The sequence below is a fragment of the Homo sapiens genome, chromosome 1, assembly GCF_000001405.40.
Source record: "Homo sapiens chromosome 1, GRCh38.p14 Primary Assembly".
NCBI lineage: Eukaryota > Metazoa > Chordata > Mammalia > Primates > Hominidae > Homo > Homo sapiens.
Genome location: NC_000001.11, coordinates 215559915 through 215572271, shown reverse-complemented (window position 1 = coordinate 215572271; position 12357 = coordinate 215559915). Strand labels below are relative to the sequence as shown.

The 12357-nt window shown below is 40.3% G+C and overlaps 1 protein-coding gene and 1 long non-coding RNA gene across 4 annotated transcripts in view, besides 3 other annotated features; one reads left to right on the top strand and one right to left on the bottom strand.

The window, feature by feature from the left end:
* KCTD3 (potassium channel tetramerization domain containing 3) overlaps positions 1-4968 on the bottom strand; it is a 54504-nt gene extending 49536 nt beyond the window's left edge. For all 3 annotated transcript variants that reach the window (NM_001319295.2, NM_016121.5, NM_001319294.2), the window contains exon 1: positions 4504-4968. Coding sequence is in view for 2 of the 3 variants with exons in the window: in NM_016121.5 (NP_057205.2) it covers positions 4504-4586 (83 nt within the window). In the remaining variant the exon portion in view is untranslated. The remainder of the gene's footprint in view (positions 1-4503) is intronic.
* Positions 3894-4754: an enhancer, noted in NCBI's record as "H3K27ac hESC enhancer chr1:215740861-215741721 (GRCh37/hg19 assembly coordinates)". NCBI's record gives its function as "activates a minimal SCP1, AML or CMV promoter by ChIP-STARR-seq in primed H9 embryonic stem cells {active_cell/tissue: H9 hESC(primed)}" and the evidence as "EXISTENCE:reporter gene assay evidence [ECO:0000049][PMID:30033119]".
* Positions 3894-4836: a biological region, named in NCBI's record as "H3K27ac hESC enhancer GRCh37_chr1:215740861-215741721".
* Positions 4567-4836: a silencer, noted in NCBI's record as "silent region_1816". NCBI's record gives its function as "represses an Ori minimal core promoter by ATAC-STARR-seq in GM12878 lymphoblastoid cells {active_cell/tissue: GM12878}" and the evidence as "EXISTENCE:reporter gene assay evidence [ECO:0000049][PMID:35858748]".
* On the top strand, positions 4915-5845 carry LOC124904599 (uncharacterized). The gene is made up of 2 exons (XR_922599.2): positions 4915-4992; positions 5138-5845. It is a non-coding gene; the product is annotated as an uncharacterized LOC124904599 (long non-coding RNA).

The following is a 12357-nucleotide window of genomic DNA, read 5'->3' as shown; positions in this document are numbered from 1 at the left end:
GCACCTAGCACACACCCAGTAAATGTTTATTGAAACTTATGTGTGATAAACAGAATCACACTCTAAAACTCAGTTAAATGTTCTGTACAAAACGGAGACTTGATTCTTCTGTACGATCTGCAGGCATTTTATGGTTACAACAGAGCACTTTCAGAATACACTGGTGTTGACACACAGATGTCACTAAACTGCCCACTTAAATCATTTAGCAGTATCAGTCTCAGTGTCAGTAACAGCAGAAGCCGTGTATGCACTGTTCCATAAAAAGTGCCTTAGTCTCCAAAATAAATTTTCTATCATTATCAAAACATGCTTTCCAATCACAATTAAAAGTTTATCTCGGCTAGGCGCGGTGGCTCACGCCTGTAATCCCAGCACTTTGGGAGGCCGAGGCGGGCAGATCACGAGGTCAGCAGATGGAGACCATCCTGGCTAACACGGTGAAACCCCGTCTCTACTAAAACTACGAAAAATTAGCCAGGCGTGGTGGCGGGCACCTGTAGTCCCAGCTTACTCAGGAGGCTGAGGCAGGACAATGGCGTGAACTCAGGAGGTGGAGCTGGCAGTGAGCTGAGATCGCGCCACTGCACTCCAGCATGGGCGACAAAGCGAGACTCCGTCTCGGAAAAAAAAAAAAAAAAAGTTTATCTCCACTTCTTCCCACATACAACTTTACAATTTGTAAGGAAAAGTATTCTTTCATTGGCTAACTGAAGGAAAGACAGTAAAACAATTCATTTATTAAAGACATTTAAATGTAAACTACAGTAAGGGGTACTTTAGGGAACACATAGAAGTTGACTACTAACTAATTTCACAGGTTATGGACAGTCTAGGTGTTTATAAGCAGTTCCTACGCCCATTTATCTGATTAACAAATGAGTCACTTTAAGAAAACACTGCAAATGCTCCTAAATGCGTTTCTTAATAGACTCTTAAGAAAAATAAAAAATACACAGATTACCCCAGTCACAGAAAACTGACTTGGTCCAAAATCAAAGCAAATCCACTCAATGGTAAATTGAAGGATCCAAGGATTCATACATTGCAGATTCACTGTTTTGGAGGCCATCAAATTCATTCCAAATGAGGACAGCTTATAACTTGCAATCTTTTATATTCACCACTTATTCACCAATTGTATTCCAAATAATTAAAATTATGTGCTACTTAGAAAATCACAAAGGTCTGCTTAAAATCATATTATCAGTTTCAATTTTAATCAGCATTTTGGGGAAAGGTTAGTAACCTGGAATTTCTGGGCAAAGGAATTAGACCCTCATCCCCACCAATTTTTTTTTAAACTTCTGGCCCCAAAACCAGTCTCGAATATAACTTCATGAAAACTAACACACTTAAAATTACACATGATGAGCATAATCATTTGAAAGCCTTTTCTGTTTTGATTTGTTTTTTATCCCATACCCATAGTGTCCCAAGAACAGAGTCATGTACAATCTGGTTTCAGCAAAGGACTAAAGAAATTTGCATACCCACAGTTATACTTCATGCAACTTGCCTCCTACTAAATTAACTTGGTAGCAATCTAACTAGTTATTTATTCTGCACTGTAAGTACTGATAATGCCACTAACCCTTGCATTTCACATTTATTACTTCAAATTCCTATAACAATCTGATAAGATTGGTACTACTGTCTGTCACTTTACATTTTAATAGACTAAGTATCAAAATATTTGTCCAAGGTTGCTAGGCTAGTTAGAGATAAAGCCTGGGAATTGGAAACATATACCTGACTCAAAAGCTCTTTGTCCAGGAGTCCTCAATGGCTAGTCCCAGCCCTCTTGCATGAGGCCCAAAATCACACTTGCCCATAACAGAATTAATCATAAATTCAGTCATAGTGAATTCACTTCATTACTTTTTGTAAATAACGAATACTAACAATTCTAAATGAAACTTCATCTACTCTACTTTCTGAATCACCCACAAAGTATTAAACCATAAAAATTAGTCATTTCTATAATTCCTTTGAGTATATCCATTTTCATGTCTATTCTCCTGAGGGAAAAAAAAAAAAAGACCTTACCGATAGCATATGCTTCTCTGCTCCCAACAAACTCTCCTTTTGAGTTTTACTCTATCACTTCAGAACTTCAATTCTATGCCACAGCAGTTCCTGAACTTCAGTGGCAATCATATCAGGATTTTTCTCTTACAGTGGCTTAAGTGACTATGTTACACTGTGTTTTGTACAAGATACAGGTGACTTCTAGATCTCATCTAGCTCTAAAATGCTGCACGAGTGTAGGATTCAAAGCAAATCTAGAAAATATTCTTAGAATATGGAGTCGGATGTTGTTTTCTACGGGCCATACCATTACTACTTATTTTATAAGCCATTTTATCTTAACAATTTTCTGAAGTTTTTTAATGTTTCCATTCCCACTAACAATTTCATGTCTTGTAAACTGTTCAAACCAGTAATATATGTACTATTTTGTATCTTTGCTAATATCACTTAGAAAAAATTAGAACCTGATAAGCTCAAGTTTCATAAATAATGTAAACACAAGATAAAATGTCACAGTGCCAGGCTGAGACAGGAGAATGGCGCGAACCTGGGAGGCGGAGCTTGCAGTGAGCCGAGATCGCACCACTGCACTCCAGCCTGGATGACAGAGCGAGACTCTGTCTCAAAAAAAAAAAAAAAAAAAAGTTACAGTGCCAAGATAACTGCCTTATGAGTTAAAACTTTTAAATGAATTCTGCAGTCTCTAATAAGAGTTCACTCAGTATTAAGCCATCCACATAGTAAATAACAATACTGCTTAATTTTTACAATAATACTGTATGTCCTTGTGAATGTCTGAATAGAAATATATTAACTATCGGCCAGGCGCGGTGGCTCACGCCTGTAATTCCAGCACTTTGGGAAGCCGAGGCGGGAGCATCACGAGGTCAGGAGATCAAGACCATCCTGGTCAACGTAGTTAAACCTCGTCTCTACTAAAAATGCAAAAATTACCCGGGCGTGGTGGCGCGCGCCTGTGACCCAGCTACTCGGGATGCTGAGGCAGGAGAATCGCTTGAAACTGGGAGGCAGAGGCTGCAGTGAGCCGAGATCGCGCCACTGCACTCCAGCCAGGCGACAGAGCAAGACTCCGTCTCAAAAAAAAAAAAAAAGAAAATTAAAGAAAAGAAATACATTAACTATCAATAGCAAGTAGAAACCAGTGTAGGGATTGTAAATGATTATACTGCTACTCTTCAGTATAATCAACACACATTGCAGGCCTCCTCTTTAGGGGTATTCCACAAGTTACCAAACTTCCAATATTTTAACGTGATTTTAGGAAAAACTCCATTTCTTACATTAGGAGACATAAATCTCCATAAGACTGGTTTCTATACAACTGCAATAACGTTGTAAATTATCTAAGTTTTGATTTGGGGGAAGAGGAAAAACCCTAAGAACGAAGTACCATGGTTTTCTGTGTTAAATTCTAGAAAGCTATCAAATGTTTAGGATTAAAGCACTACAGTAGACATTTTTTATCACTATGGTTCTAAGACATTAAAATACTTTTAAAATGCTGGTTGAAAATCATATTCTCAAGCACAGAAAAATTAACTGTATTCCAGAGCATTTCCTTGTTTATCTCCTTACCAAGCCTAAAACTCAACTAATCCTTCTTTCAAACAGCTGGCAAACTCCCTTTTCTGAGAGGAGTGACTCATAAGTTATAGGAAATCCACAAAAACTACGATTTTTTCCCCCAACAAACTTAATAACAGGCACAGAAGGGGCGGGGGGGGGGGGGGGCGGAAGGCCAGAAAGAGAACAGACAGAGAAGAGCATTCAGTCTGTTTACTCCAAGGGCGTCACACCGTGCCAATATCCAGAGCTTCCTAAAAGCAAATGTTCAAACTGCAGTTTCTGGACACACTGTCCTAGAAGTTGAACAGATCCTTCAAGCCCATGCACCAAGAAATTCTGAAAATAAATAACTAGGTACTGCAAACCTACTGCACTCCCATCACAGAAATCTTTCAAATTACAAATCCCCTAATTAGGCGCGGAAAAGAACACCGCACTCTTCCCTAAGAAAACCGACACCTCGTTGACCAAAGAGAAAGGAAAGCAAGTTCATCTCCAACATCCAAACCACAAAGCCAGGTTTCTACTAAATAAAGTCCTCAAATACACTCTAATCTGAGATGAGGTAAGGAAGGCTGTGTAATGGTTCTCCTTGCCTGTTGGGAGGGGCAAAGGTTGGCATTCTAGGACAGCAGCTACTCTGCCACATGGGCCTGGTCCTCGGTAATTCCAAGCGTCCCTTCTGCCTCTCCCTTCCCAGAGCAGATGCTTCACCAGCTCCAAAATCCGCCCGACGTTCTTGCCGCCTGGAGGCCCCCACGTTCCCCTCCAGGCTTGGCCTCCCACGCTCGCCCTCGTTCCTGCGACTCTCGGTCCCCGTCGACACCAAAGGAGGAGGCCGCCAAGGCATCCCCGCTGCAAGCCCGCTACCCGCCGACTCACCTGGTCCCCCCTACGTTCAGTTGGACGATCTCGCCGCTGCCGGCCGCCGCCGCGGGGAAGCTGCCGCAGTGCCCTCCCGCCATCTCCGGCGGCTCCGGACGCGCTCGCCGCCCTCCTTCCCCAGCCGGGACCGCCGAGCCCGGGGCTGTAGCCCGAGGCAGCGGCGACGGCTGCAGGGCCAGCGGGGCGGCGGCGGCCGGAGGGCGGGGGGTGCACGGGGCTTCCCCCACCTTCCCGGCGGCCGGGCGGGGCTCGCTAGCTTCTGCCCCTTCCCGGGTCAATCCTGCGGTGCACAAGGGCGGCCCGGCCTCCACCTTTCGCGGCCTCCAGGCCGCCGGGCCGCCCGGGCCTCTTCTCCGTGCTCCGCTGCCACCGACGCCGCCGCAGCCTGCCTGGGAGGAGGGGTCACCGTTCGGGACAAAATACCGCAGCGCTCACGCTTCGCCCGCCACTGCCGCCTAGAATGAGGAGGAGGAGGAGGAAGGAAAGGTCAGGGAGGAGCTTCCCAACGCCGCGGGGCTGGCGCGTAGGGAGGCTAGGGGAATGTGCTCCTGGCCAGCCGCCTGCCCACGCGGGATTCCATTTCGTTCCTCCTCCCCACGCGATCCCAGCCCCTTTCCCTTTTACATTTCAGATTTTCTAAAACGAGGAAGCTGATTCGCAGATTGAGGGCAGATCTGGGCAAACGATCTACGGATCTTTATGACCCACTTTGTCAACATGGATTGGGAAAGGAAAAACTAATCCTAGAGGTAGTAAAAGTTGATGCCTAAATGTAGACAGTGCAAATGCAGGGAACATTTGGAGATTTTAAAACCTTACAGCGTTTACCCCAGAAAACTGCTTACTTTACCCTCTTCAATTTAATCCCCAATCTCCCAAGCAGTTTTTTTGTTTTGTTTTTTGCTTTTGTTTGTTAAGCAGGAAGGAAACCAAAGGACAAAAACCCCTAGACTGTGTAATGCCCAGCAACCTATTTCTGGAATATAGTAAGCACTCAACTAATGTTAGACACACGCAGAAAACACACAATTTTATGCGCTTGTTTATTTATTTGTTTTTGCTTTAAACGGTATCTATTCAAACCCAAAACCTTAGTGGCTATTAAAATATTTTTTAAATCGGAATACTATAATACTTGATGCCCTGCTAACAAAGACTAACAAAGATAGTGCGTTATGTTTCAGAGGTCATTAGTTTGTGGTACTAAATTCTTAACATGAATTGTTTTGTCATAGTTGTATCATAATAATTCAAACTGATAATGTATCTGATGTTAAGTTTTTATTGTCATTGTCATAATTTTTACCAAAAAAATAAAAAATAGCCTCTGGCAAGCATACTAATGTTGTGATATGCTCTATCTAGATTCGACTTGAAAGATGTTAATAGTACATATGGATGTAAGATAAGTATTATTTCTCCCAGTTGATGATAAGCTTAATAATAGCTAATTTGTGTTTATCATATACCCGGTGGTTTAGATATTTTGTCATCTTTCTTCGTCACAACTAATGTTATAATTATTTTTAAAAAAGGAAATTTGGGAATGAAAATGATCAAAAAAACTTGCTCAAAATTACATAGGTAGCAAGTGGGATGGCAGGAATTTCAAGGCAAGCAGCTTGAATTCAAGGCCACTGTTCACCATCCTTACCACTGCATTGTACCTCATTATCTTCACTTTAGACAGGGAAGATGAGTAACAGTTCAGATTAAAGCAGCAGCAACTAGGAATCTAAACCAGGGTGTCCAATCTTTTGGCTTTCCTGGGCCACATTGGAAGATGAATTGTCTTTGGCCACACATAAAATACACTAACACTAACGATAACTGATGAGCTGAAAAAAAGAAAGAAAGAAAGAAAGAAAGTTTATGAATTTGTGTTGGGCCACATTCAAAGCTTTCCTGGGCTGCATGCGACCCATGGGGCTGCAGGTTGGACAAGCTTGCTTTAAACAATGTTAACTGCCTTTGCCCTAACACATAATATCTGGTTCTATCAGGATCTGAAACTTTGCTTTAAAATTTGCAGCGAAGATTTAAGTGGTAAAAGGGCCATTTAATTTTCCTTAGGTCCAAACCTTGGAAGAATATGAAAGAATAGTTGCTAACAGCCTTTGAATCCAAGAGGCAAGTTGGAGTTAGAATAAGGCCTTATAAATTTAAAAATATATATATTTGTGAAAGGCTTCTTATTTTTCCTGAAATAAATGAAACCGTGTTCATTTTATTATACTGTACTTAAAAATTAGGAGAACATCTCTTCAAGAGAAGGAAAAGTTCTCAGTATTTTATAAGACAAATGGTCATGACTTCTTGATATGTCCAGAACAATATAGAGATATCTGAGGCATTTCTTGCTCATAAAACTTAAAGTTAGGGTGTGACTTAATTTTTAAGAATAAATTGGAACACCATTAACAAAAACAAATAGCAGAATGAGAAAAGATATTTGCAACATATATCAAATGATTGAAAATATATAATATCTGATCATATATGTATATATTATTCTACAAATAAATTGAGAAAACAAGTAATGAAAAATATGGAAAGAATATCAACAGCCAATTGATAAAAACACTAAAATGCTTATTAAAACAACAGAAAGCTGGGTGTAGTGGCTCACACCTGTAATCTCAGCACTTCGGGAGGCCGAAGTGGGTGGATCACGAGGTCAGGGGTTCGCGACCAGCCTGGCCAATATGGTGAAACCCCGTCTCTGCTAAAAATACAAAAATTAGCCAGGCGTGGTGGTGCGCGCCTGTAGTCCCAGCTACTGGGGAGGCTGAGGCAGGAGAATCGCTTGAATCTGGGAGGCAGAGGTTGCAGTGAGCTGAGATCGCACCACTGCACTCCAGCTGGGACGACAGAACGAGACTCCATCTCAAAATAAATACATAAATACATAAATAAATGAATAAAACAAAAAATGTATTTTTACTCATGAGATTAGCAAAAATTAAGAGAGGTTTGATAAAATTCAAGGACAGTGAGAGTGTGAAATGATCATACTCATGCATTGCTGATTAAATTATGAATGGGTACAGAGTTTCTGGAGGGCACCTCAAGAATATCAGCATTTTAAATGTAAATACCCTAGACCCAGCACTTTTCTTCTAAAAATATATCCTATACACATTTTGCTCAATTGGCAAAGGTACATGCAAAGAAGTAAGTGCATATTCATGGTAGTAGTGTTATAATAGCAAAAACATGGAATATTCAACAACAAGGGAATAATTTTTAAAATTATGTTGGAAGCTATTACTATTTTGGGGGCAAATTCATGTGAACTGACCAGAAATGATCTCCAAGTATATGATTTAGTGGGGAAAATAATCAGATTACAGAATAATACATTATGAGTACAATCTCATTCATTTAAATAATGGAAAAACTAAAATCATGTGTATATCCACTTATATTTCTATATAAAAATACATATTAAACTACGAAGAAACATAACCTCTAGACAGATCATTAGAATCAGTGAGGAGAAGGTAGCAGTGGTGAATGGACAAAACCTTTTACCCCTATGGTCTTTCATATTGTTTAACTGTTTACAGTGAGTTTTCTTTCATGTACTACCTGTATGTATGTATGAATGTGTAAATAAATAGAGTAGATACATTCAAGGTTGTCCCCATGACAGCTTTTTAAAGTTTATGTTATTTTAATATTTAGGCAATACAAAGTAAATAAAACATTATTTAAATAATATTACCTTCTTTAGTGACTATATTGAATTTGTGATGTCTACTCGACCAGTCCTTGTCAAACTATCTCAGGTAAGAACTAGTTCAATTTCCAATTTATGGGGTGATTTAGTCAGGACTCTCTAGAGGGACAGAACTAATGGAATATATATATGTTTTATAATATATGTATTTATAAATATATATTATATATATGGAATATATATATGTATATTCCATTAGTTCTGTGATGGGTAAACTCCCCTTTATATATATATAGCTCGGGCGGGCACTGTGGCTCACACCTATAATCCCAGCACTTGGGATGCCAAAGTGTGCGGATCACCTGAGGTCAGGAGTTCGAGACCAGCCTAGCCACATGGTGAAACCTTGTCTCTACTAAAAACACAAAAATTAGCCAGGCGTGATGGCACGCTCCTGTAATCCCAAGTACTCGGGAGGCTGAGGCAGGAGAATCACTTGAGCCTGGGAGATGGAGGTTGCAGTGAGCTGGGATTGCAGCACTGCACTCCAGCCTGGGTGACAAGGCAAGAGTCCATCTCAGAAAAAAAAAAAAAAGTTTCCAACCTCTTAGTCTCATTTTTGTGCTTATTTAATTGCAGACTATTCACAGTTTGTGGATGGGCATCAATTCATGAACCACACTTAAGTGGCCACACTTAAAGTAGTGTTTATTATCACTTAAGTAGCACACTTAAAGTAGCATTTACTTGAAGTGTGGTTATACTAAAAGTAGTACACTAAAAGTAGTAACCACACTTAAAGTAGCGTTGTATTAGATATCCAAGTAAGATGTTGAGTAAGCTGTTGTATAAAGGACCTAGAAGTTTCAGAAAGAGAACTAAGCTAAAAATTCTCTTATTTTTACTGAAATAAAACTTTGGGAATGAGTAGTATATAGATGGCTGTTAGAGCCATGAGACTGCCTAAAATCATAAGGAGGTGAGTGTAGAATGAGACAAAAATAGAAATCAGAATGGAGCCCTTGACTATCCAATATTAAGAGACTGGGGAGGAGTTCCAGTGAAGGAAACTAGAAAGGAGTTTCAGCCAGATGGGAGGAAAACCAAGGGAGCATGGGGTCCTATGAGATCACAGGACAAGTAAGATAAGAACTAAGAATTGACTTTGGATTTAGTGACATGAAGAAAAATAGTGTGGTGGAAGTAAGGGCAGTTCTAGTGCAGAAGTGGGAGAAAAAGCATAATTGGTGGGGTTTTGCTATAAAGAAGAGCTAAGAAACAGACAGTAGCAAGCTAGGGAAGTAAGGCCAAGAGAATGTTTTGTAAAGATGTTTTAAAAAAAAATAACCACGTTGATGAAAAGCAATCAGTAGGTAGCAAAAATCTGACCATTCAAGAGAGGCAGAAGATAATTATTAGAGTAACGTCTTTGAGTAAATGAGGAAGATATCTAGGCATCAAGTAAAGATAAAGAAACTGAGCCACAAGGAGGATCAGTAATTTGCCCAGTGTTCGTTGTTGCTGCTATTATTGTTATCTTCTAACCCACTCTATATTTAGATATTATTATTATTATTATTATTATTTTGAGACAGCGTCTCACTCTGTTGCCCAGGCTGGAGTGCAGTGGTATGATCTCGGCTCACTACAACCTCTGTCCCCTGGGTTCAAGAAATTCTCCTGCCTCAGCCTCCCGAGTAGCTGGGATTACAGGTGCCTGCCACCATGCCTGGCTAACTTTTGTATTTTTAGTAGAGATGGGATTTCACCATATTGGCCAGGCTGGTCTTGAACTCCTGACCTCAAGTGATCCATCCACCTCGGCCTCCCAAAGTGCTAGGATTACAGGCGTGAGCCACCACCCCCAGCCTATTTTGGGTATGATTCTAATGATATACTCTGCAAAAGAGCCCTTAAAACCACAGGCTTGAGATTGGGAACAAAAACAGGGAAAACTTTCTGCCACAGAACTGTCAATATTTAAAGGCAGACGTTGGCAAATAGGAAGAAGACTAGAAGGTTTGCTGGATCTCGTCTATCAAACCTAAACATATGAATATACATTTCTAGTCTGATAACACAGTCACCAAAAGGTGTGGATTTGGGACAGGTGGGAGAGACAATGATTTGGAAGTAACAGTGAAAGGCCAGTGTGCTATCTATCTTCCAGGACAATGTTATAAAGCTCATTGGAAAGAAAACATTTGAGAGAGAAGTAAAGAATTAGCATCCACAGGGAAGTGCCGGCTTCCACTCTGTACCCGGAACATTCAGAAAAAGAGTATGAGGATAAAGGGGATTTTTGTGATAATGAATCATGAATTTCAAAGGGCACATTGGAAAGCTCATATTTTGGGGAAGGAAAGAGAATGATGAATGAGTGACGACCTGGGTACTGGACTTTTGTGCAGACCATTATAAAATGGGCAAATAGGCATAAACAGATTAGTCCAGAGGTTATATTAGGCAGATCGTGGTGGTGATTCGAAAAAAGCTTCATTTTACTTTGTCGGAGTAGGGGGATGGCGGCAGGCACCTTTGCTTGAAGCAATGGAAGTTCAGAAAACTCTATTCTTCCAAAGACTTCTACGTGCCCAGAAATGAGCTTCTAACCCACCCACAAACTCCCAATCCCTCTCTACTGTCTCCTCCCTATGTTTATTCCTACCTCTCTACTCCATTCCGGGCACACCAGTCACCTGTTATTATTCCATAATGTCAAATATACTTCTGCTTCAGGACCTTGCACTTGCTCTTCCTTCTATCTATAAAGCTTTCCCTTGAGAAAACCAAAGGGCTTGCTGCTTCACTTCTTGCAGGTCTCTGTTCAAGTATCACCTTATTAGAGAGGTCTTCAGTTTTCTAAACCATCAAAATGGTTTAATAAAAATGGAATAATAAAAATAATCCAAAAGAAGGCAAAAAAAGAGGAAACTCAGAACAAAGAACATGAGCAGCAAAGAAAACAATGAGCAGAATGATAGATGTAAACCCATCCATATCAATAATTACACTAAATTTAAATCGTGTCAACACAATTAAAAGGCAAAGTTTTGCAGACTGGATGAAAAGGCCAGACCTAAGTATATACTGCTGTATTCATTCATTTTGCATTGCTATAAAGGAATACCTGAGACTGGGTAATTTATGAAGAAAAAAGTTTTATTTGGCTCATGATTCTGCAGGCTGTACAAGTATGGCGCCAGCATCTGTTCAGCTTCTGGTGAGGCCTCAGGAAGCTTTTATTCATGGCACAAAACAAAGGGGAAGCAGATGTGGCACATGGTGAGAGAGGGAGCAACAGAGAGCAAAGGAGGTGCCAGGCTCTTTTTAACAATCAGATCTTGTGAATTCACTCATTATGGAGAAAACAGCAACAAGCCATTCATGTGGGATCTGTCCCTATGACCCAAACATCTCCCACTAGGCCCCACCTCAAAGATTGGGGAATCACATTTCAACATGAGATTTGAAGGGAACGAATATCCAAAAGATATCAACTACCTAAAAGAGAACCTGGCCAGGCGCAATGGCTCACACCTGTAATCCCAGCACTTTGGGATGTTGAGGTGGATGGATCACCTGAGGTCAGGAGTTCAAGAGCAGCCTGGCCAACATGGCGAAACCCTGTCTCTACTAATAATACAAACATTAGCTGGGCATGGTGGTGCATGCCTGTAATCCCAGCTACTTGGGAGGCTGAGGCAGGAGAATCACTTGAACCCAAGAGGCAGAGGTTGCAGTAAGCCAAGATTACGCCATTGCACTCCAGCCTGGACGACAACAGTGAAACTCCATCTCAAAAAAAATAAAAAATAAAAATTAAAAAATTAAGAAAGGGAAACCTTTAAATATAAAGTCACAAATGAATTAAAAGTAAAAGAATAGAACAAAATGAGCCATTCTAACACACATCAAAGGAAGTCTGAATAGATATCTTAATATCAAAGAAAATAAATGTCAAAGCAAAAAATATGATCAGAGATAAAAAAGGTCATTTTATAAATGAGAAAGGAATCATATCTTTCAGGAAACATAACAATCTTAAACATTTATCCCTTTGATAACTGAAAACTTAAAAATACAGAGAAAAAAACTAGTAGAACTGCAAGGAGAAAAAGACAAATCCACAATTATAGTCAGATGTTTCAATATCCCTCTCACAATAA